Source organism: Homo sapiens, chromosome 12, assembly GCF_000001405.40.
Source record: "Homo sapiens chromosome 12, GRCh38.p14 Primary Assembly".
NCBI classification, from domain to species: Eukaryota; Metazoa; Chordata; class Mammalia; order Primates; family Hominidae; genus Homo; species Homo sapiens.
Genome location: NC_000012.12, coordinates 130,145,233 through 130,166,164, shown reverse-complemented (window position 1 = coordinate 130,166,164; position 20,932 = coordinate 130,145,233). Strand labels below are relative to the sequence as shown.

At 51.0% G+C, this 20,932-nt stretch overlaps 1 protein-coding gene and 1 long non-coding RNA gene across 2 annotated transcripts, besides 5 other annotated features; one reads left to right on the top strand and one right to left on the bottom strand.

The window, feature by feature from the left end:
* Positions 1 to 424: 424 nt before the first annotated feature.
* FZD10 (frizzled class receptor 10) lies at positions 425 to 3,701 on the bottom strand. The gene has a single exon (NM_007197.4). It carries the CDS (start codon positions 3,220 to 3,222, stop codon positions 1,477 to 1,479), a length of 1,746 nt encoding a protein of 581 aa, NP_009128.1. The 5' UTR covers positions 3,223 to 3,701; the 3' UTR covers positions 425 to 1,476.
* Positions 875 to 1,420: an enhancer, noted in NCBI's record as "NANOG hESC enhancer chr12:130649290-130649835 (GRCh37/hg19 assembly coordinates)". NCBI's record gives its function as "activates a minimal SCP1, AML or CMV promoter by ChIP-STARR-seq in naive H9 embryonic stem cells {active_cell/tissue: H9 hESC(naive)}" and the evidence as "EXISTENCE:reporter gene assay evidence [ECO:0000049][PMID:30033119]".
* Positions 1,506 to 2,501: an enhancer, noted in NCBI's record as "H3K27ac-H3K4me1 hESC enhancer chr12:130648209-130649204 (GRCh37/hg19 assembly coordinates)". NCBI's record gives its function as "activates a minimal SCP1, AML or CMV promoter by ChIP-STARR-seq in naive H9 embryonic stem cells {active_cell/tissue: H9 hESC(naive)}" and the evidence as "EXISTENCE:reporter gene assay evidence [ECO:0000049][PMID:30033119]".
* Positions 4,088 to 4,654: an enhancer, noted in NCBI's record as "H3K27ac-H3K4me1 hESC enhancer chr12:130646056-130646622 (GRCh37/hg19 assembly coordinates)". NCBI's record gives its function as "activates a minimal SCP1, AML or CMV promoter by ChIP-STARR-seq in primed H9 embryonic stem cells {active_cell/tissue: H9 hESC(primed)}" and the evidence as "EXISTENCE:reporter gene assay evidence [ECO:0000049][PMID:30033119]".
* Positions 4,487 to 14,572, top strand: FZD10-AS1 (FZD10 antisense RNA 1). Its single transcript, NR_033834.1, has 4 exons — positions 4,487 to 5,508; positions 10,383 to 10,813; positions 11,474 to 11,692; positions 12,567 to 14,572. It is a non-coding gene; the product is annotated as an FZD10 antisense RNA 1 (long non-coding RNA).
* Positions 4,655 to 5,221: an enhancer, noted in NCBI's record as "H3K27ac-H3K4me1 hESC enhancer chr12:130645489-130646055 (GRCh37/hg19 assembly coordinates)". NCBI's record gives its function as "activates a minimal SCP1, AML or CMV promoter by ChIP-STARR-seq in primed H9 embryonic stem cells {active_cell/tissue: H9 hESC(primed)}" and the evidence as "EXISTENCE:reporter gene assay evidence [ECO:0000049][PMID:30033119]".
* Positions 20,023 to 20,192: an enhancer, noted in NCBI's record as "experimental_25722 CRE fragment used in MPRA reporter constructs". NCBI's record gives its function as "activates a minimal promoter by MPRAs in K562 erythroleukemia cells, with activity observed for both the introgressed and non-introgressed 12:130630603 variant alleles {active_cell/tissue: K562}" and the evidence as "EXISTENCE:reporter gene assay evidence [ECO:0000049][PMID:34662402]".

Below are 20,932 nucleotides of genomic sequence, written 5' to 3'. Positions count from 1 at the left end.
GCTCTGTCTAGGTACCATTTGAGCCTAGCAGGTCAATTGAATACAGATGATTTAATTCTCCTAATCGGTTGGCTCTACTCTCTGAATATATTAAAACTGGCTAATCCAGGCTCATGAGTGGGTCCACGCTTAGTGGTGAGGCTCTCCTTGGTGATGTGTGTCTACAACTAAGCCCTCATGTCCAGCTACCAACAGTCACAGAAACGACTTCCAACTTCACACATTGCCTGACTGCAGTTCCTCAGAAACTCACAAGTGAATGATTCTTCCAATCTTGGAATCCTCTGATCTGCAATTTTATACAGATAACCAGTACTCTCTGGCTAGAAGCACAACCCCAGAATTTGCTTAAAAAGCAAAGGGAGAAAGTGTCCTGTAGTCTCTCCACACACAGAGAAGGGAAACCTCACCATGAACCAGGGACTAGCAGCAAACTAAAGAACATATTTTATTTTTAATAAAATAGTGGAGCATGAAAAATATCATATATTACAAATATACACACGCAGAAACCACTCTTTCCTGGCACTGTGAAGAGAATACACTAGACAAAGTGTCTCTGCCAACCTAGTGCTTCCTGATCTGTTTGTGGAAATCATTTGTTTAACAATAGAAAGAGTCAATAAGCCCTTTGGGTAACTTTTGAATGATCCTTCTCCCTCTTCCCCCCTCCTTTCCACAAATCAGTCCAAACGTCTATAACATTGGCTTGGTTTCCATTAAAAAGCCACAAAATGTAGCACTGAAGGGTTTCTGAGGGCTGGGCCTCTTAGTTCTTTTGTTAGGAGATTTCTTTTGTTGTCTTTATATATAGCAAAATACTTGTTTCTCTTTTTATTTTCAAGGAAAGAGAAAAAAATGTATTGCACATCGTTTGAGTTCACAAATGTGAGGTTTGATGGAGGTTTCTGTCTTGCAGAGAGACTATTGGTGAAGGCCGGAGTCTATTTTAAGCAACTCCAAATCCACTGGGGTGTGAGGCGGGCCCCGGGTCCTGTCTTTCCTCTGCAGGGATGCCGCCCAGCACTGTGGCCTTCCTGGGGGTGGGCCCTGGGGATGGCTCATTTGTTAACCCAGGGGAGGCTCTTGAATTTGCAAAGCAGTTATCTGTCCTCTTATTTGTAAATGGGTAGCAAAGCCAACTCAAATACACAGATGTATATTTAGGGAGGGCTCTAAACAAAAGTTTTCTTCTGAGGGCTGAATCAACTACTTTACCACAAATTAGTTACACAAGAGGCTACTTCACTGGAGGAGCTTCCCTTCGCTGGAAAACCAAAACAAAACAAAACCCTTTAAGTACATTTTTCCTTTCAGTGTATCACAGCATCCTGAATTTCAGGGTAAACACTTTTTTATGTATTTCTCTTTTGCTTTTATAAAAAAAAAAAAAGAAGAAGAAGAAAGAAAAACACAACCAAGAAAAGCACCACATCTTAGCTCCGGGCGCCCCTGTGCCCTTCCCTCCAGCCCTGTTCACACGCAGGTGGGCGACTGGGCAGGGATCTCATATTTCCCGTGGTGAGTTTTCTGGGGATGCTGGGCTTTTTTGTAAATCCCACCGCTGGTGATCACGCTGGCCGGTTTTCTCCGGCTCTTCTTCTTTAACCTACGGCTGCACACCTGCTGCCAGGACTGCAGAGTCTTGGAGGTCCAAATCCACATCCCGCTGGTGATCCCCACCACCAGCAGCATAAAGATCTTCACCATGAAGATCTCCACGGCGGGGATGGAGGCGGCCATCAGGCAGTCCAGCGTTTTAGTCTGGTTGTTCATTTTGCACTTGTGCTGCGCCGCCAGGATCTTCCAGTAATCCATGTTGAGGCGTTCGTAAAAGTAGCAGGCGATCACACAGGTGGCCGGCACGGTGTACAGCACAGAGAAGAGCCCGATACGCACCATGAGCTTCTCCAGCTTGTCCGTGTTCTCGCCGCCCGTCTTCATCACCCTCCGGATGTGGAACAGGGCCACGAAGCCCGAGAGGATGAAGGACGTGCCGATGACCAGGTAGCAGGCCAGGGGAATGAGCACGAAGCCGGTGAGCGCGTTGACGTCCATGCTGCCCACGTAGCAGACCCCGGTGAGCTCGTCCCCCGCCACCCTGCGCATGACCAGGATCAGGATGGTCTTCACCGCCGGGATGGCCCAGGCTGCCAGGTGGAAGTAGCTGCTGTTGGCTTCGATGGCCTCGTGGCCCCACTTCTTGCCGGCGGCCAGGAACCAGGTGAGCGTGAGGACCACCCACCACAGCGAGCTGGCCATGCCGAAGTAGTAGAGGACCAGGAAGACCAGCGTGCAGCCGGTGCTCTCCAGTCCCTCCTGGATGACATAGAGCTGGCCGCTGTCCCGGTCGCAGGCGATGCTCTCGGCGCCGGCGAAGAGGCGGATGAGGTAGCCCACGGAGTAGACGCAGTAGCACATGGAGAGGAAGATGATGGGGCGCTCGGGGTAGCGGAAGCGGGCCGGGTCGATGAGGAAGGTGAGCACGGTGAAGGCGCTGGAGAAGAAGCACAGCACCGCCCAGATGGCCAGCCAGACCACTGCGAAGCGCTTGTCCTCGCGGCTCCAGTACACGTCCACGCCGGGCGTGCAGAGCGGCGCGCACGACGCGCTCTTCTCCACGTGGTGGAACTTGCCCGGGTTGTCGCAGCCGCCGCGCCCGGGGCCCCCGTCCTTCAGCGGGTGCTCCTGCGCGCTGTGGGGCCGCTGCGGCCGGAACAGCGGCGGGAACAGGCCCGAGCCCCGGGTGGGCTCGTCCGAGCCGTTGTTGGGCGCCTCCATGCACAGGTAGTTGGGGTCGTTCTTGTTGGGGAGTTTCCGGCAGTCCAGGGAGTCGGGCCACTTGAAGTTGAACTGCTCCATAATCGGGGAGCACTTGAGCCGGGCCTGCTCGCACATGACCCGGCAGGCGGGGATGGGGGTAGAGACCTGCTCGGTGCACATCGGCGCGTACAGCGAGCACAGGAAGAAGCGGAGGTGGCCGTGGCAGCCGTACTCCACCAGCGGCGCGAACTCGTGCAACTGGATGGCTGCCTCGCGCTGGTTCTCGTGGCCCATCAGGTTGGGCATACGAGTCATGTTGTAGCCGATGTCCTTGCACATCGGGATCTCGATGGGCTGGCATTTGCCGTCGCCCGGGCGCTCCATGTCCATGGAGCTGATGGCGGCGCACGAGCCCATCACCTGCAGGACCAGCCACAGGCGGGGGCCCGGGCGCTGCATGCTGGCGTTGGACGTGTCCTCGCGGGGAGCTCCGCGCCCCTCAGCGCCGCCGCTCCCGGGCACGGGCTGCTGCTGGCCCCGGCTCTCCACCCCTGCTCGGGCCCCCGCCCATGCCCGCCCGGCCTGGCCCGAGCGCTGCGCACAGCGCCCCCGGCTCGGCTCTCCGCGCCCGGCGTCCGCCGAGTTGGGGGCCGCGGCGGAGAGCAGCAAAGTTTGCAAACAATACCGGGAAGCGAGGGAAGCCCCCGGAGCTCCCGGCGCAGCGGCCCGGCGCGAGCTCCAACTCACGGCCGCGGCAAACTTCGGCCTCTTCTTGGAGCGCCCAGGTGGCGCGTCTGGAGCGGGCTGGCGGCGCGGGCACACCGAGGCCGGCCCAGCTCGCGGCGCCCCCACAGCCCGGGCGGCTCCTCCCTCCCTGCGCCGGCCTCGGCCGGGACCAGCCGGCAGCTGTTTCGAGGTTTGCGTCCCGGGATGAGAAGACTCGCAAAAAGGCAAAGGGGGGCAGAAAAGCCGAGCGCTGACAGGCCCCGCCCCCGGGCCGCGCGCCCCGCCCCGCCGCTGCTTTGCATGAGAAAGCGCAGCGGCCCGGGGCAGCCTCCTCCCCGCCGCCCCGCCGCGGGCTCCCGGGCCCCGCGGGGGCCGATCCCCCCCGGCCTGCAGCCCAGCCTGCGGGGGGCGCAGCGCCTAGTCCCGCCCGCGTCGCCCGCCAGCCCCGGGACAGCCCGCCTGGCGCGCGGGGCTCTGCGCGCTGCGACCCTCCCCGGCAGTCCCGCCCGCCTCTCCTCGCCCTCTCTCTGCCTGGCCTCCAACTTTGCCTCTCGCTATCCTCTCCGCCGGCGCCCCCTTTCCCGGCGGTCCCCGGGATGGTCCCCGGCACCCCGAGGACGCCGAGGTTACGGGAAGTTCGGGGACTGGCGGGAGAAGGGGTTTGGGGGTGGTCCGCGGCGAGGGGCGCGGGGTGCATCTTCTCTTCCTTTTATGGTGAGTCCCGGGCGGAGGGCGCTTTCAAAGGGAGGTGGGATTTGCGTTTTATAGCCTGGGCCATAAAGTAGGCCCTTGCTTGTAAACCTGCCCGCATCTTCCTGAGGCTGGGGAGGTGCTACCAGCCCCGGGCTCCGGGCTCCGAGGAGGGATTTTCTTTGAAATTTCAAAGAGACGAGCTAAGGGGAGGGGGAGGGGCTCGAGAATCCGGATTTTAGGGCCGCTCATCCGAGGTCTCCTCTAAGAAGGCGGGAAGGGGGAGGGGCGGGAAGCGTCCCGGGACTTTGAACACCGCCTCCCACCCCGCGGGAAGTGCGGGCTTGGTTTGTACCGCGGTGACCCCCGCCCCCTCCGAAGCCGCAGAGCCGGGGCCTCGCGCCAGCAGGGCTGGAGATGCCTTCTTGGCGGCTGAGTTTATTTATTATAGGAAGTCATTCGCTCGTGGGGTATTTATGTGATTTGGCGAGTGATGTGCCCGGCCAGCGCCCTCCTTGGCTGCAGCCCCGCAGGAGGACCCGGAGTAGGGTGGGATGGAGTGGGTCGTGGGAGGAGCGCGTCAGCGCCTGCCCGGGGACCCCCAGCTCCCGCGAGGACACGGAGGCGCGCACGCCGCTCGGTTTTCCTGGAAAGTGGAGAAGGAGCGTCCTGGGCAGGTCCTCTGAGCTCATCCCCCCTCGGATTGGGGCGGGTCTGTGACGGGGTCACTTAGGACACGACGTCCCCCCGCCATTCCCTTCCCCCGCCCAGGGCGTTCGCGGTGGGCGCCCACCGCCAAGCCCCACTGTTCCCAAGGATGCGCCAGGTGCTTCCCGTAGCGTCCTGGGTTGACCCTTAAAAAAACAGCACCCCTAGGAGGTGGCCGGCCCTCTCCTCCCAGGGTCTCTCCGGGTCACGATCTTCCAAAGTTCGGAAACTCGCAGGATCGCGTGTGCAATCTCCCGCTACCTCCCGGGGGGCCGGGGAGAGGTCAGAGGAGCGAGTCCCGCGTCCACCGGCCTCGCTTGCCCCCTGCCCGTTTGAGGATAGTTCCAGGGAGCAGGGTGGAGTGTGCGGACATCTTTGGAGGCAGTGCTGGGGCTTCCCGCGTTGGCGGCGCTCCACCCGGCGTGGGGGGCGGCTGCACGGGCCCCCGCGGTGGGGACGCTGCGCACGGGGCAAGGTCTCCCTAGGAAGCGCCCGGGAAGGAGATGGGGCCCGCCAGGAACCCCCCTCACTGACCAGCTTTCTGCACGCCGTGCAGGAGGGGGCCACTTCCTCGGAGAGTATTGGCTTTTAATTAAAACAAGCCCTACAATTTTTACATCGGTAAGAAACTTGGGGAAATCTCACCTTTCCACTCATTCATTCATCCGTTCAACAGACATTTGAGCGCCCAGAATCCCAGAATTAATAGGCAGGTTCAGGCACCCACCCCTGGGTCGCTGTCCCTGGGTGTCCTGGGTCTCACTAGGAGGTGCTGGAGGAAGTCGGGGTGAGGGAGAAAGTGAAAAAGAAGGTAGAAACTCCGGGCAGTTAGAACACCACCTTCAACTGTGTTATTTCCCAAGTGAAAAGTTGCATGATTTTATTTTTGAAAGACTGCCATTTTTATTATAGTGTTTTTTTTTTTGTTGTTGTTGTTTTTTGTCTAGTGAGTAATTTTTCAGGACCTTTAAATTAAAATTAATTCAGCGGAAATCACTTGGCTTTTCTAGAATTTTCCTGGCAAAGGTCCTTCCTGGGCCCTATTTTCCTTCTTTTCCTTTTTGTGTCTCTCCCTCAGCAACTATTAGAAATATTTAGTGCAAGAGTGAGAGCCAAACGCCGGGAGCTGGGTGTGAGCTATTTGAGAAAGTGCCTCCTAATTGATCTTTTCTGTGCTGTTTTAATTCAGCCACGTTCAGGCCCATTATTTTAGCTATAACCACTTCAGATTGCCTTTTTCTCTCGTTTTTTATAAAAATGTCTGCAGAAGTGCTTCGCCCTGTCCAGCTGAGATGGAAACCAACAAATAGACTTTATTATAGAGAAATGAGGGTTCTGAGAAATCAGCAACTGGAAGATAAGTCTGTAACTAATAAATGAAAAGGCTCTTTTGATGGCCCCAGCTGAAAAGATATTTTATTTTATTTTTTTTCCTGTGTGTGGGATTTGAGATGTGTGAGTCTAAGGAGCAGCCGGGGTCCCCCGCTGCTCAGCCCTGGCTGGCAACCGACCCCCCTCTGGCAAATGTTATGGAGAATTGGGAGGAATTTTATGGCTGTCTTTCCCTCAGCTCTTTTTTCTTTTGTCTTCTTTGAAGAATGACTTTAGACATTTTATTTACATATTTAACCATGGATGAAAGACGGAAAAGAAAGCTTTGGAGCCGTCGTGGGAATAGTGATATGTTTAAATTAATGGAAATCTTATTAGGCTTCTAAAATTTTGAGCAAAGATTTTTAATGAAACTTTATAATTAAACATGATTTCACATAACGTGCAGAGACAAGGAATATGTTTTTACCCCCAACCACCTAAAAATGTCTGTCTATCGGAAAGCTATCAGTAAACATTATCCGCCTTCAGGTTCTTGCAAACGTTCACCAGGGAAAGTATGAGGTTTTTGAGAGAGAATATTTCAGGAGTCAGGCAGTGTTTTGAACAAGAACTAAATATTTTTTGGAGGTGGAGGGGAATTGAAAGAGAGGCCCAGTTTCATTCCATTTAAACTCACAAAGTCAAAAGTATAAAAGTACTTTGACACGGATATTGCTAAAAATCAAAGTTGTATCTTTTCTTATTATGTAATAGTCAATGGAAATTATAAGCACTGTGCGAGGTTTTCTGAAATGGGATTAGAGAAAACCCAAATAATCTCTTTAAGATAAAAAAGTACTGAGTCTTTCAGCAACAGAAAGAAATTAAACCATAAGCTTAGCATGTTACAAGCTAATTGCAAGAGTAAACTGGTGGCATAGGAAGAAAGCTCATAAACAGAAGTAAAATCGTGCTGGTGAATGTTGAGATAAAAAGTGGTTCAGGCTGTCGCAACGCCTTTCAGTAGCTGCTGCTTGAATCACCTCTCTTGGTACATTCAAGTGTGAGGATCCACGTAAGTGATTCTTGTGTTTCTTCTCTTGTCTTCTCGTGTCGTCAATGTTTGTATTTAGTCCGGGACATTTCCAATTCTACCTTCAAGTATGAGAATGAAAACTGATCTATTTACCAATAATTGCTTCACATGCAGGGAAGTCTGATGTGAATAGACCTTGTTTTCTCTGACCTCATCTAGTATCAAGTTTCTGCAGAAACTTATCAGATATAAAACATGCACAAAAAATTATGTTTTCTGATCAAGTAGGCATGCTCCCCGTGGCGTGCCCCCATCTTTTTCTCCAGGGAAAATACCTTTAGTGATCTGAAGTGATACTTAGCAAAGAAAACACAGTTTGTACCACCAGAAAGGCCATGCAAGTCGCAGCGAATTCAACAGGCGCAAAAGTTTTAATTCTGCCTAAAAACACTGGCTGTGAGATGTGGAGGTTTGGGGGAAGGTGAGAAATGAACCCCGAAGCACCCCCATCCTAAAGTGGATGAGTGGGGTGTCCAGTGTGGCTCCAGCACAATTTAGGCAGCTATTTTAAGGCCACTTCCCTTGAAATGTGGTTTGAAATATTACCAAAGGTTCCACGGGGTGCACTAGTGTGAATTGCAAATCAGAGCATTGATTTAATCCTCTTTCAAGGCCGGGCTTTGGATCGCTGGCGTCGACTGGCTCCCCACTGCTCCTGGCTCAGGAGGGACCATTCAAGGGGGCAGCTTCCCGCCTCTATTCCCACACTCCAAAAAACAACACCGCAGACAGACACCCTCCAACTAAATTAGATTAAACTCCTTCTCTTCCACAGCGTATTAGCCTTTTTGCTGCCCAAGCCTCCTTACGCAGCCCCTCCTCATTTAAAGACACAGATTTCTTTTTCATCTCTGCAACTGCAACAACAACAAACACAATCATATATATATATATAGTGTGTGTATATATGTGTGTGTGTGTGTATATATATGTGTGTGTATATATGTGTGTGTATATATGTGTGTGTATATATGTGTGTGTATGTGTGTGTATATGTGTGTGTATATATATGTGTGTGTATATATGTGTGTATATATGTGTGTATATATGTGTGTGTATATATGTGTGTGTATATGTGTGTGTATATATGTGTGTGTGTATGTGTGTGTGTATATATGTGTGTGTATATATATGTGTGTGTGTATATATGTGTGTGTGTGTGTGTGTATATATATATATATATTTTTTTTTTAAAGAGATAAAGCCAGCCTTCTAAGTGCTCTTACATGGCAAGGACGTTATCTGTTTAAAATCCAGGAGGGCGTCGCCTACCTGTTCTGAAACTCAACAAATTAACCCTTAACCTGGGGCAAACCTAGAGCCTATTCACAGTGCTTCAACCTGCAATTCTGTACTGGACTGTTTTTGGAGGAATATATGAGAAAAGAAACATCACAGAATTCCAGAAACACGACACAAAAGAGTGTGTGCGTGTGTTGTTTTGGTTGGTGTTTGTATTCCAAACAGCTTGAGCGGACAGCTTATCGGAAGCGCGTGCCCATTCTGTGAGTTCAGACTTCATACCTGGTCTTCATTGCTTTGCTCCTTGTCCCCTCCCTTAGCTGTTTGGGATGTGCTGATTTAATTACTCCCCTTCCCATCTGTTTTCTTTCGGCTTCCCTCCTGCACCCTGGGACCCTTTTGCCTGTTCTGGGAGCTGAGTGGGTCAGCTCATCACAGGCCTGCGGCCCCTGCATGGGTGACAGAGGAGGCAAAGATGACACAGAGAAACTATCCCTTCAGGGACAGAGTGGGGACACCCACGAGCTTGGCTCTGCCTTACAAAGAAATGAGAAGGAACCCCGTTCCTGCTTTTCACCTTAGGTGAGCTCTGAATCTGCAGCCACTCACCAAACGCCTGAGCAGCCCCGCACCACAGTGATGATCTGGGGAGGAAACGACCCGGATGCCTGGGTCTGAATCCCCCTCTTCCACTTTCTAGCCCCATGACCTCAGATATGCCACTTCTAATTGCTCTGCCTCGGTTTTCTCATCTGCAAAATGGGACCAGCAGAGTTCCCGCTTCCCAAGGCACGATGAGGATGATGTCATAACACACTTGGAAGCGTTGATGGCAATACCAAGCACCAAATAAGTGCTCAGTGATGAGTAGCGGTTATTATTGTTGAAATGCAATATAAATGGAGGGAGAGAGCACAATAAGGAGAGGCACTGGAATGTGACATTTGTGGGGAGGAGTTTGGGGACATGTCAGTGTCAGGCACACAGTAATACAAGCTGATAATCAAGGCAAGCAAATAATCAAAAGGCTAACAAGAGCCGAGGCTGACTAAGCATTTGACAGGTGCTGCCTTAAGCCTTGATAGGAAGCAGCTCACTGCCTCCTCATAGGTACCCCAGGAAGCTGGTCCAGAGAAGATTTCCATTTCAGAGAGGAGCAACTGGGGCTGGGGAGTCCGAGTCACTAGACCCAGGCCACGGGGCTACTGGGGGTAGAGCCGACACCATTCCACTCCCCCAGGGGCTCAGCTGCCTACGCCTGGCCTCCTGCCTCTCCACGGAGATGCAAGCACAGTGGGTACTTGTGATGGAGCCTGACTTTCAGAATGGGACCCCGTTCTGCTGTCCTGTCTGGAGCCAGGCAAAGATCAAGTCTTGGTTTATGGCTTTGTTCAGGGGCTCCTGGCCTGGGGCGAGGCTGCCACTTTCCTGTCATGTTGATATTCCCCGTGATGGTGTCTGAAGGGATTCTTTGGAGCCACAAACAGGGAGGAAATGGCGGAAGAAGCAATGTGGGAGGTATTAATGTGTGTTGGTTTACCCATGTCCTCAGCTGTGTGACCCCAGGCAAGTTACTTAACCTCTCTGAGATTCTTTCTGTTTCCTCTGCTGTAAAATGGGAACAATGACACTTACTTGATCAGGTTCGGGGTAGGAATGAAGTGAGATAACTCAGTAAGCTCTGAGAACCGAGTTGGCACATAATGCTAGCCCTGTGGGATTCACTGGTCTGTAAACTTTCTGGTTAGTTGACTTTTCTTTGTTAAATTCATTTGTCTTCACTGGCCGGAAGCCAAGATGGCTTACTAATAGCATCACTTACGAGTCTTTCTCTTTTCTATAGGGCTGCCACACTTGTGTATCCCTTCTTCCTTGAATTTAACCAGGAGTGAGCAGTGGACAGCTTCTTCCCTATGAGAAGGAGGTGAAGCAGGACCTGAAATCCCGTGCTCAGCTCCCACATGCCCCGTGTCCAGGACAAGTCCTTTGCTGAATCAGCGGCAGACACCACCCGGAGCCCTGCGGGAGCCTTTCCCTGTTCTTCCAGCATGGATCTGAAACTCCCTTCCCACTTTCTGCAGCCTCCCAGAGATAGTTCAGGCTCCAGCCTCATGTGATAGCATGAAGAGAAACTGGTTCCAACAGCTGTGTGCTCTGCTGCCCTCATCCCAAACAACAGTTTAAATGCACAATTACGCTTTTCTCTAAGGCCCAAAATAGGATAGGAAAGATCGTTTTGCTATCCCTGAATGCCTGTCACCCTTGTTTCGTAAGGTAAGATTGGGAAGGGCTTGGCCATTGCCCTTGCAGCTGAGAAACCAACTTTAGGAATAAAGACACTCTCTCCATGTCTGACAAATGTCTGCCCATCTGCTGGCAGGTCAGTCTCTCTCTCTGAGATATAGATTATATATGTATACATATATATGTGTGTGTGTATATATAATACACATATATACATATATACACACACATTCACATATATAATATATATGTGTGTATATACTATACACATATATAATCTATATAGAGAGATATATAGGTTATATATATGTACACGTGTGTATGCATATTATTATACAGACATATACATACACACATATATATACACACAGACATATATATACACGCACACACATATATAATCTAATTATGGAGCTGCCCTTACAGCTCACGCATGTCATGCGCACACACGCAGGCACAGTCATTAGCTTTCAGAGCTGACACATCAGGAGGCTGCATCCCCCGCCTCCTCATGGCTGAACGATGTCTGCTCCTGGGTGACGCGTCCACTAGGCTGCCTCCTACTCAGGTTCCCCCTCCCCAGCCCCTTGTCTCGGAGCAGTCTTACTCTTATTTTGTTTGTGGTACTTTTTCTGCCCGTCGATGATCTTACTCATCTGCTTATGTATTTATTTTCTGTTCCTCCTCCAGCAGGAAGTCAGTCCCAGAATAGTTGTTCTGCTCCCTCCCTTCTAATAAGTGCTGCGCTGAGTGTGCTTGCTTTGCCAGATGGTTAAAACAGAGCAGGGGATAGAAGGACAGATGTCTTCACCCTCATGGAGTTCACCTTCCAGTAGGAGGAGGCGATAGGCCGGGGTCTGCACATGTGCGTGCTACAGCCTGTTCCACGGTGCGTGGCGTGCGGGGCAGGTGAGCGGCTCATGCCATCCAGAGAGCTAGGAAAGGGGGGCTGCAGTTTTAGCAAGATGGGCAGGGAAGGCCTGGATGAGAAGGAGACCACTGAGCAAAGACACCAGGAGTGGGTGCAGAGAGCTGAGGGCACTTCTAGAAGTGCCTGCTGGGATAATGGGGTGTCTGCCAGTGCCACGGCCCTGAAGTGCCACTATACCTGGGGTTTTTGAGGAAGAACAATGGGGCCAATGGCTGGAAGTCAGGACATAGGGGCCAGCGTCAGAAGGTAGCTGACAGAAGAGGTGTGTGGAGAGGAAGTGGGAGGGAAAGAAATCGGGCCATGATGGCGTCTATGGGCCTTTTGATTTTGACTCTGAGTGAAATGGGGAGCCACGGAGGGTTCTGGAGAGACGAGAGCCATGCTCTGACTTCAGTCTTCCCAGGACCCTTCTGGCTAGTGCATCAAGGACACATAGTGGCAGGGAAAGAGTGAAGCAGAGAAACAGTTAGGAGACAGCCACAGTGGTTCAGAGGAGATAGGCTGGTGGCTTGGACCCCGGAGGCAGAAGAGGCCACGGTCAGCAGGGATTGGATTCTGCTTAGAGGGCCACCAGGCAAGCCTGGGCCGGCTGTCCATTTTGACCATGGACCAAGGCTGTCCATTTTGATGGAAAACTCATTCTTCTTCTTCTTCTTTTTTTTTTTTTTTTTTTTTTTTTTTTGAGACAGAGTCTTGCCCTGTCACCAGGCTGGAGTGCAGTGGTGCGGTCTCAGCTCACTGCAACCTCTGCCTCCCAGGTTCAAGTGATTTCCCTGCCTCCCGAGTAGCCTGGACTACAGATGTGTGCCATCAAGCCCAGCTAATTTTTTTTTTTTTTTTTTTGTATTTCAGTAGAGACAGGATTTCACCATGTTGGCTAGGATGGTCTCGATCTCCTGACCTTGTGATCCGCCCCTCCCTCAGCCTCCCAAAGTGCTGGGATTACAGGCGTGAGCCACTGCACCCTGCCAGAAAACTCATTCTTCTACTCCATCCTACAGTTTTCCCTAAGAGAGAAACAATAAAACGCCACCACGACCAATGGCAAAAAGCTGGCACCCACTCCACGACTTTTCATATCTACACGTTTGTACAGCTTTATTTTTAAGCATTCTGAAATTCTATGCAGGAGAGACCCCAGCTAGGTTTAGGGAGTCCTAGGGTTTGTGGAGTAAATGAAGTTTCTCCCTAGAATTAGGGAGGGTAGAGACAGGCAGAGAACTGACAATCCTAACAGCTGCTGTCCTCAGAGCCACTGTTTCTGAGAGCTGCTCGCTGAGTGCTTCTAGCGAGTTAAATGGTGTTCGCCCAAAAGACCTGTTCACGTCCTGATCCTGGGAACCTGTGGCTGTGATCTTATTTGGAAAAAGCTCTACATTACGTCTTTGCAGAAGTAATCATGTTAAGGATCTTGAGAGGACGTGACCCTGAATTATCCGGCTGTGCTTGACATCCAATGACTGGTGATGTTGTAAGAGAAAGACGGAGGGAGATGTAAGATATGAGAGAAGGCCACGCCGAGACTGGAGTGATGTGGCCGTGAGCCGAGGAATGCCTGGAGCCACCAGAAGCTGGCAAAGGCAGAAGGAGCCTCCTCTGGACCCTGTGGTGGGTACGCAGCCTGGCAGATATATTCATTTTGGACTTCTGGCCTCCAGGGCTGTGAGAGAATACATTTCTGCAGTTTTAAGCCACGCAATCTGTGTCCCTGGGAAGCCCAAATAGGGCGAGACCTTTTGCCAAGTGGTCTCCAAGTGTCACGTCATCGAATCCTTCTCCCGGGCTTGTGCCATAGTCTTTCCACTTTAGAGAGGAGGAAACGGAGGCTCTGGGGCACAAAGCCAGTCAGTGGCGGGGCCTGACTTTCAACCCAGCCTGCATGGGGTCAGAGAACCCACTTTCCCCGTGGGGCCTGCGGCCTATGCTAAGGATGCTTGTTCATCTCTCCTGGGCCCGGGAGTGGTTCTTCTGGCCTAGAAGGCAAGAGAAGCCAGTCTTTCGGTTTCAAGGTTTCCCATTAGTGGAGTCAAGCAAAAATGGTGTGTTGCGCTTCTTCCTGAGCTCAGCCTGGGAGCACGGCCTTAACATGCTCAGTGGATCCCAAGACGGCAGCATGGCGGTGCCAGCCTGGCAGCCTTAGCTCCTTGCAGCTGTGCTTGTGAAGGGAGCAGTGAGTGGCTTCCCTCTGTGACCACCTTGGGTCCTAAGTTTCACTGGGGCTGGGATCCATGCGTCTTGCAATTGGCTAGGAATTTCCCGGGCTTTCCCTCCCTTCCCTGTTCAGGGCACTGGGTGTGAGGCATTGCATCCGTTCTTCTGCTCACCTGCTTCCCCCTAAGAGTGTGAGCTGTATAAAGGCAGGAACCAAACAGGAGCCTCCACGTGTTCCCAGTTCAAGGGCAGTGTCCCTTGTGTGTTTCTTCAATAATTCAGTGGATGACTTATTCTGCACGGACACTGCACACACTCGGCCCTGCCGTCTCCGGAGCTGGGAGGTGTGGAGCTGGCTCCTGACCTATTTACACACTGAGGAGGGATGTGGAAAACAGGAGGAGTCCCAGGGCTCCAATGCAAAGAGGAGCCTCTTCATTCCCTCTGCCGTGGCCGTGCAAGGGACAGCGCCTTGTGGGATTGTGTCCTCCACCCAATTATCCTTAGCATTAGTTTGCTAAGGATAATGGCCTCCAGCTCCACCCATGTCCCTGCAAAGGACATGATCTCATTCCTTTCTGTGTCTGCATAGTATTCCATGGTGTATATGTACCGCGTTTTCTTTATCGAGTCTATCATTGATGGGCGCTTCAGTTGATTCCATGTCTTTGCTACTGTGACTCGTGCTGCAATGAGCATTCGCGTGCATGCCTTTATGGTGGAATTATTTCTATTCCTTTGGGTGCATACCCAGTCATGGGATTGCTGGGTCAAATGGCATTTCTGCCTCTAGGTCTTTAAGGAATTGCCACGCTGTCTTCCACAATGCAAGCAAGACGTTATTGAAAGTGTAAAGGGGGCTGCTAATTACGCTGGGGCAGGCGGGGCAAACCAGGACCCTGCCAGGCGAGTCTAGGCCATGGCCCCACACCAGAAGATGAGGGCTGGAGACTCCTGGAGAGGAATCTGAGTGGCGAGACCACCTGCATTCATTATGTGTCAACTCTGCCAGGTGACAGTCCCCAGTGAGCCCATCAAACATGAACCTAGGTGCTGTTGGGAAGGTCTTTGGATGCCATTAACATCTACAATCAGTTGGTTTTCAGTAGAGGAGATTATCCTCAAGAATGTGGGCGGGCCTCATCCAGTGAGCTGAAAGGCCTTGAGAGCAGAACTAGGATTTTGGAGGAGGATGAAGTGTTGCCTCCGGACCGCAGCGTCACCTCTTGCCTGGGAATTTCCAGCTTCCTTTTCAGACTTCGGACTTGCCTCCAAGCTCCCTGAATCTTTTCATATATTTATGTCCTATTGCAGATTGTGTTTCTCTGGCTGGACTGTAACTGATGAGGAGGACTGAAATTCCAGGCTTGGTTGTATAGCATATAAGTGAGGTCATTTGGGTCTGGGGAGCTGGGGGGGGGGTCCTTCAGCTGCATGAGTGTGACCTGCACCAAGGTGCCTGGCTACCTGGGGCGAGGGGGCTGCCATCTAGCCCACACCCCACTCCTAGGCCGTGCACCCTGGCATGGGTCTATGTCTGGCTCAAGGAAGGGTTCCCTCCTCCCTCCAATGTGCACAGAGACCTTGAGATCCCATCCACCTAACCCTGTGCCCTCAGAAGCCTCCTCTGAGAGGGGGCACCTTTTCCTAATTCTCACAAAGGCTAGTGGCTACCTTGTAGATAGCCTTGGATGTGTTAGGACACTTTTCTGAACATCAGTTCCTTATCTGTAAGATGGGAGTTGTGTCCTCAATGGGTAATTAGAGATTATTCATGGGAAATCCTATCACGGTATCTACCACGGGGAGACTCACAAGTGCTGATCTTTGCTGGTGTTGCTGCATTTGTTATTGAATGCATTCGTTAGGAGTCTTGTTAGTAAGTGACAAAAATCCAACTCAAATTGGCTTACACTAAACAAGTTTCCTGCATCTGGGAGTATAAAGGGTGACGCTTTGGCAGAGGCTGGCTCTGGAAAACGAGGACGCACATTTGTGCCCCCACTTTCCTCTGTGCGGCGTCCTTCTCTTCAAGGCTTCCCCCAGTTTGGCAAACACGGCCCCAGCAATGTCAAGCTGAGAGCACCTTTTAAGAAAGACCCTTCCTTCCATGTGTTTTGGCAAAAGTCCCATGAAGCAGTATGAGTGGCCCGGTTTGGGTCATGGGCTCACCCCTAAACCAGCCGCTCTGGATGGATTAGTTCCAATTGGACAGGCCATGGTCTTGGACTCTTTGGGTGAGTGTGGGAGGGTGTGGGAGGGAAGATTCATTGAACCTCATCTCTACTACATGGTACAGCTCCCTGGAAGAAAGAGGGGCTCCATTACCAGAAGGAAACAAGGAATTTTATGGGGAACCACATTATCACTACCACAATCTACCATGCTATACATAAGAAATGCACCTTGGTCTTAATGCACGGTCTTGAGGGGGTGCAAGCTGAATCCAATTCCCAGCGTCTGGGTCAGTGTCCCTCATGGGGGAGCTGCCTCACTTAAGATTCCTTTGGATAGGTAAGGTAGAACACCAAGCTGCGCGGGATTATGAAAAGAAAGGGAGAAATTCACTGGCTCGCAGAATTGAAAAGCTGAGATCCAGCTGTACTTTTAAGCCTGAGCCATTCTCCAGCTCCTGGCCCTGCCTCTCGCTGTCTTGGCTTCACCCTTCACAGACTGCCCTGCAAGGACCGAGGTGGAGTCTCATTGGACTGGCTCAGGTCGTGTGCCTAGTTCTGAACCATCCACTGTTTCCAGAGGGATGGGGTATCCTGATTAGCCAGGAAGAAGTCAGACGTCTCTGAGCTAACTTTACTGAGAATTGGGTAGAGGAGGTCCCCCAAAAGTAAAGTTGGGCACTGCAGTTCAGGAGAAGGGTGATCACTGGTTGCTAAGCAACCATAAAGTAGCCAGCATCTCCTGTGGGTTGGGGTTTGCGCCTGTGAATGGACAAGTGGCACTCGGAAATTAAATGCAGTGCATCCAGTGCTCAAGCTCCTGGGCTTCGTCTGCTCCACACTTTTTCCTCTGCCCTTTGGGCTAAAGCCGTTGGGTTTGGGACAAGAGAAGGGGAGAGCTGGTACCTCTTCCCTTTTTTGCCCAGGAAAGTTGTTTCTCCATCATTTCATGGCTCAAAGTCATTAAATCTGAGTAATTCTTACAAACCAGATCCAGGAAGAATCTAGGAGTGGGCTCTCTGTAGATTAGAATGCTTCAGGCTGCAGGTAACAGAAGACTTGACTGGAAATGCCTTCAACAGAGAAGGGATGTATCATTTTCTAGAAGGAGAAATTCTGCAGCTGGGACGGTTCCAGGGTTGGTTTCTTTGGAAACTCAGAACTTCATCGAGGCTCTGGATTCATTTCTTCTTTCTGCTGTGCCATTTCCAGCCTGTTGACTTGGCCTGGGCCAGCTGTCCTCTCACGCTCATGATTGCTGCCTCTGCTCCTGCCATCACATACACAAGCAGTGCCTGTTCAGTGGAACAAAAGGAAATCAAAAAGAGGAATCACATTGTCCTGTGTCTCTACAATGTTTTTTTTTTTTTAAATCATGAAAACCGTTCCCAGAAACCCCACAACAGACTTTCTGTTTCATCTCATTGGCCAGAACAGTATCACAGGAGACTACTGGGATTGGCATAGACTAGCTAGGATGCACCCTTAGAGCCCGTGGAGGACGGCAGACATCTGAGCAGAGCTGGGCCTCAGCGGGCAGGGGATGACAGGGACTGGCAGGCATCCTTTTGGTCACTCAGAGGACTTCCTTCAATCCACCCAGGGCTGGTTGGCATCATAAACTCAGGATGGCAGCACTTGGATGGCTGTGGTTGCTTTGTCTCCAGTGAGTGCCCCAGGAAACCATCTCTTCTGGTCGCCACACGGCTATTTGGTGAGCTGCTTGCTGGGGTGAGCTGCTGCTGAATGGGTGTGGTTGAAACTGGAAGGGTGAGGTCCCAAAGCCACTGTCTGCCCCTGGGTGACTGCAACAGGTAGCCCCCCCACCAACTTCCAGGCAAATCCGTGGGAAATGGAACAAGGTATCAAGGGGAACAGGGGAGTCAGGCCACCAGGGCCCCACTGAGGAAGGCACCTGTTGCACCATATTTTGACGTCTTGAATGTGTATCCACTGGCCCAGGGAGTGGCTTAATTACCAGTGTAATAGCAGGTCCACTTACAGCTTCAGGTTTCGTAGAGGAAAAAGCATCATTGCAAAATGCTTTTGATGTGGTTAAGCGGTGAGGCCACAGTGAATTTTAAGTGCTTGGTAAAGCGCATGGAAAAAGAAAAGCACAAGTCATACTTGGTAAAGGACATTTCCCTTCCTAGATGCCAGGTGTGAAAGGATGCCAGGAATATTCTCTGCTCTTTCCTCCTGCTTCCTGAAGGACTGAGTCCACACTAACTATTATCAAACAAACAAACTTCCAGGGGAAAAGACTGCAGAACCTATACATTCTTTATAATTGGAATCACAGCTATACATTCTTTATAATCAGAATAACAGCTCTACATTCTTTATCATCGCAGCTATACGTTCTTTATAATCAGAAAGTGCTTTCTGGCCAGGCACGGTGGCTCATGCCTGTAATCCCAGAACTTTGGGAGGCCAAGCCAGGTGGATCACCAGAGTTTAGGAGTTCGAGACCCTCTGGCCAACATGGCAAAACCCCGTCTCTACTAAAAATACAAAAAAAAAAAAAAAAAGCCCAGTGTGGTAGCAGGCGCCGGTAATCCCAGCTACTCAGGAGGCTGAGGCAGGAGAATCGCTTGAACTCAGGAGGCGGAGGTTGCCGTGAGCCAAGATCACATCACTGCATTCTAACCTGGGCAACAACAGTGAGACTCCATCTCAAAAAAAGAGAAAAGTGCTTTCTGCTGTCTTACTGAGGTCCCTGCTGCTCTGCTAACTCCTTCTCAAGCTGAGAGGTAAAGCAGGTGCTTTACTTCTGTGTGGTCATGTGTTGGGTGCCTGCTACATCAAAACGCTCTTCCATATGCAGAGAAAATCAGAAGGAAGGGAGCACTGAGTGGCTAGTGGGCAAAGGGGAGAGACAGCGAGACCAACACATGCCACAGAGCTGCCTTTTATATGAATTCAAATTCTGGGATTTCGGACTAGGGCAATATGACAAATATTCATGGACTTTCACTAGACCAAAATTGGAATAAATGCTACACACACCCCAATTTTTAAAATTAGTAAAAACATGTGACTTTAAAGCAGGCTGCCTACGTTGATAATAAACCACATTTTCCCTAACGTGAAAAGTCAGTGCCATTCGAGCTTGTCGACAGAAATACAGAACAATTCCTCAGTGATGTGTGCTTCTTTGCAAAAATCAGCCTTGAATTATGCAGGTTTGAAATAGGCAAAATCTTCCTAAACAAATACTTTGCATACAATACCTCCAACCTCTATTCCAGTATAATGTTTAAACTCTGTGCTAGATGTCCACTTAGTTCTTTCATTGATGTGAAGCTATTTCATTAGGAGTCAGCAACTATGCCCTGTGATCTGACCCAATGCCTGTTTTTGTAAATAAAGTTTTATTGGCACACAGCCACACCCATTCATTTACAATTCGCAGATGGTCACTTTCTCACTCCAATGGAGTGGTGGCCACAGAAACCGTCTGGCCCAGATGTCTAAAACATTTATTATCTGGATCTTTATAGGAAATGTTTGCTGGCTTTAGAGCGAGGAGTTTCATCACTAGGATAAGCGACTCCATTTTCTTTTACCTATGGAGATTTCTCAGCCTTGCTGCACCTTATTGCTATAACTCTGTGACATATTGGTGGCCTCTACGCCACCTCTCAGCTGTCTGGCCTGAGAGCTCTGTCCAGACGGATTGACAGAGGCCAGTACCTGGTGAAGAAGGCAGCATCTGAGAGGAGCCAGGGATGCATTCATTCACCCTTTCATTCAGTCATTCAGCGAGGGTGCAGCACGCATCAGCTCTGTGCAGGCACTGTGTTAGGAACTGCAGATACAGCCACGGCCAGTAGAAAGGGCACCTGTTCTCCTTTTGTTTGTTTTTGTTTTTGTTTTTGAGACAGAGCCTCACTCTGTCTCCCAGGCTGGAGTGCAGTGGCACAATCTAGGCTCACTGCAACCTCCGCCTCCCAGGTTCAAGCAGTTCTCCCACCCCAACCTCCCAAAGGCTGGGATTACAGGCATGAATCATCGCGCTCAGCTGGCACCTGTTCTCACTAGGATAGATATCATAGCGGGGGAGACGTTGGATGGACAAATTGGCAAGGGGGATAAGTTCAGGCACTGCCGTGTGCTGTGGAGATAATAAAAGGAAAGTGGGACAGACAGTGGGGCGTGGGGAGGCTGCCTGCTTAGCTGAGGCGGTCAGGGCTGGCTCTGAGGAGGTGACGCATCCCTGAGAGCTGAAGGAGGAGAGCAAGGCAGCCAGGCAAAGGTCTGGCCGTGAGGCTCTGACTGTGCCTTCGTGCTGTTGTTCTTTGTCGATGCACTCACCCAGGAAGCACTTGTACCCCGTCATGGCGCTAGAATATTAACAAATCATGGTCCCTGTCACCATGCAGGAATTCAGAGTTGGCCTAACAGAATGCTTAGATTTCTTGGGTTTGAATCCTGGCTTCACTGCTCAGGAGCTGTGTGACTGTAGACAAGTTGATGAGCCTCTCTGAGTCTTGGTTTCCTTAACAGCAAAAGGGGGATAATAATTGTAGCTGCGTTATAAGGTTGTTATGAGGACTCTGTGAACAACAGCACGTAAAGGCTATAATACCCCACCACATACACAGGTTTTGCACCACAGCCCACAGGGGGCAGTTCACGTAGACCTCAGAGGTACAGTGACAGTGCAGAGCACGCGCTCAGATAACCCTGACTCAGAGGCGTAGAGGGAGTGCATGTGAGCCAAGCCCAGGACTGCACAGCAGGTGTTCCAGTGGAAGGTCTAGAACGCAAGGGGGGATTCGTTTTGCTGTGTGGGGCAGGAAAAGGTTATTTGGGAAGAACTCCCAGAAGAGGCAACATTTAACAGTCTGTAGATAGGTGGTTAGGAATTCCTCAGCCTGAGCAAAGGTG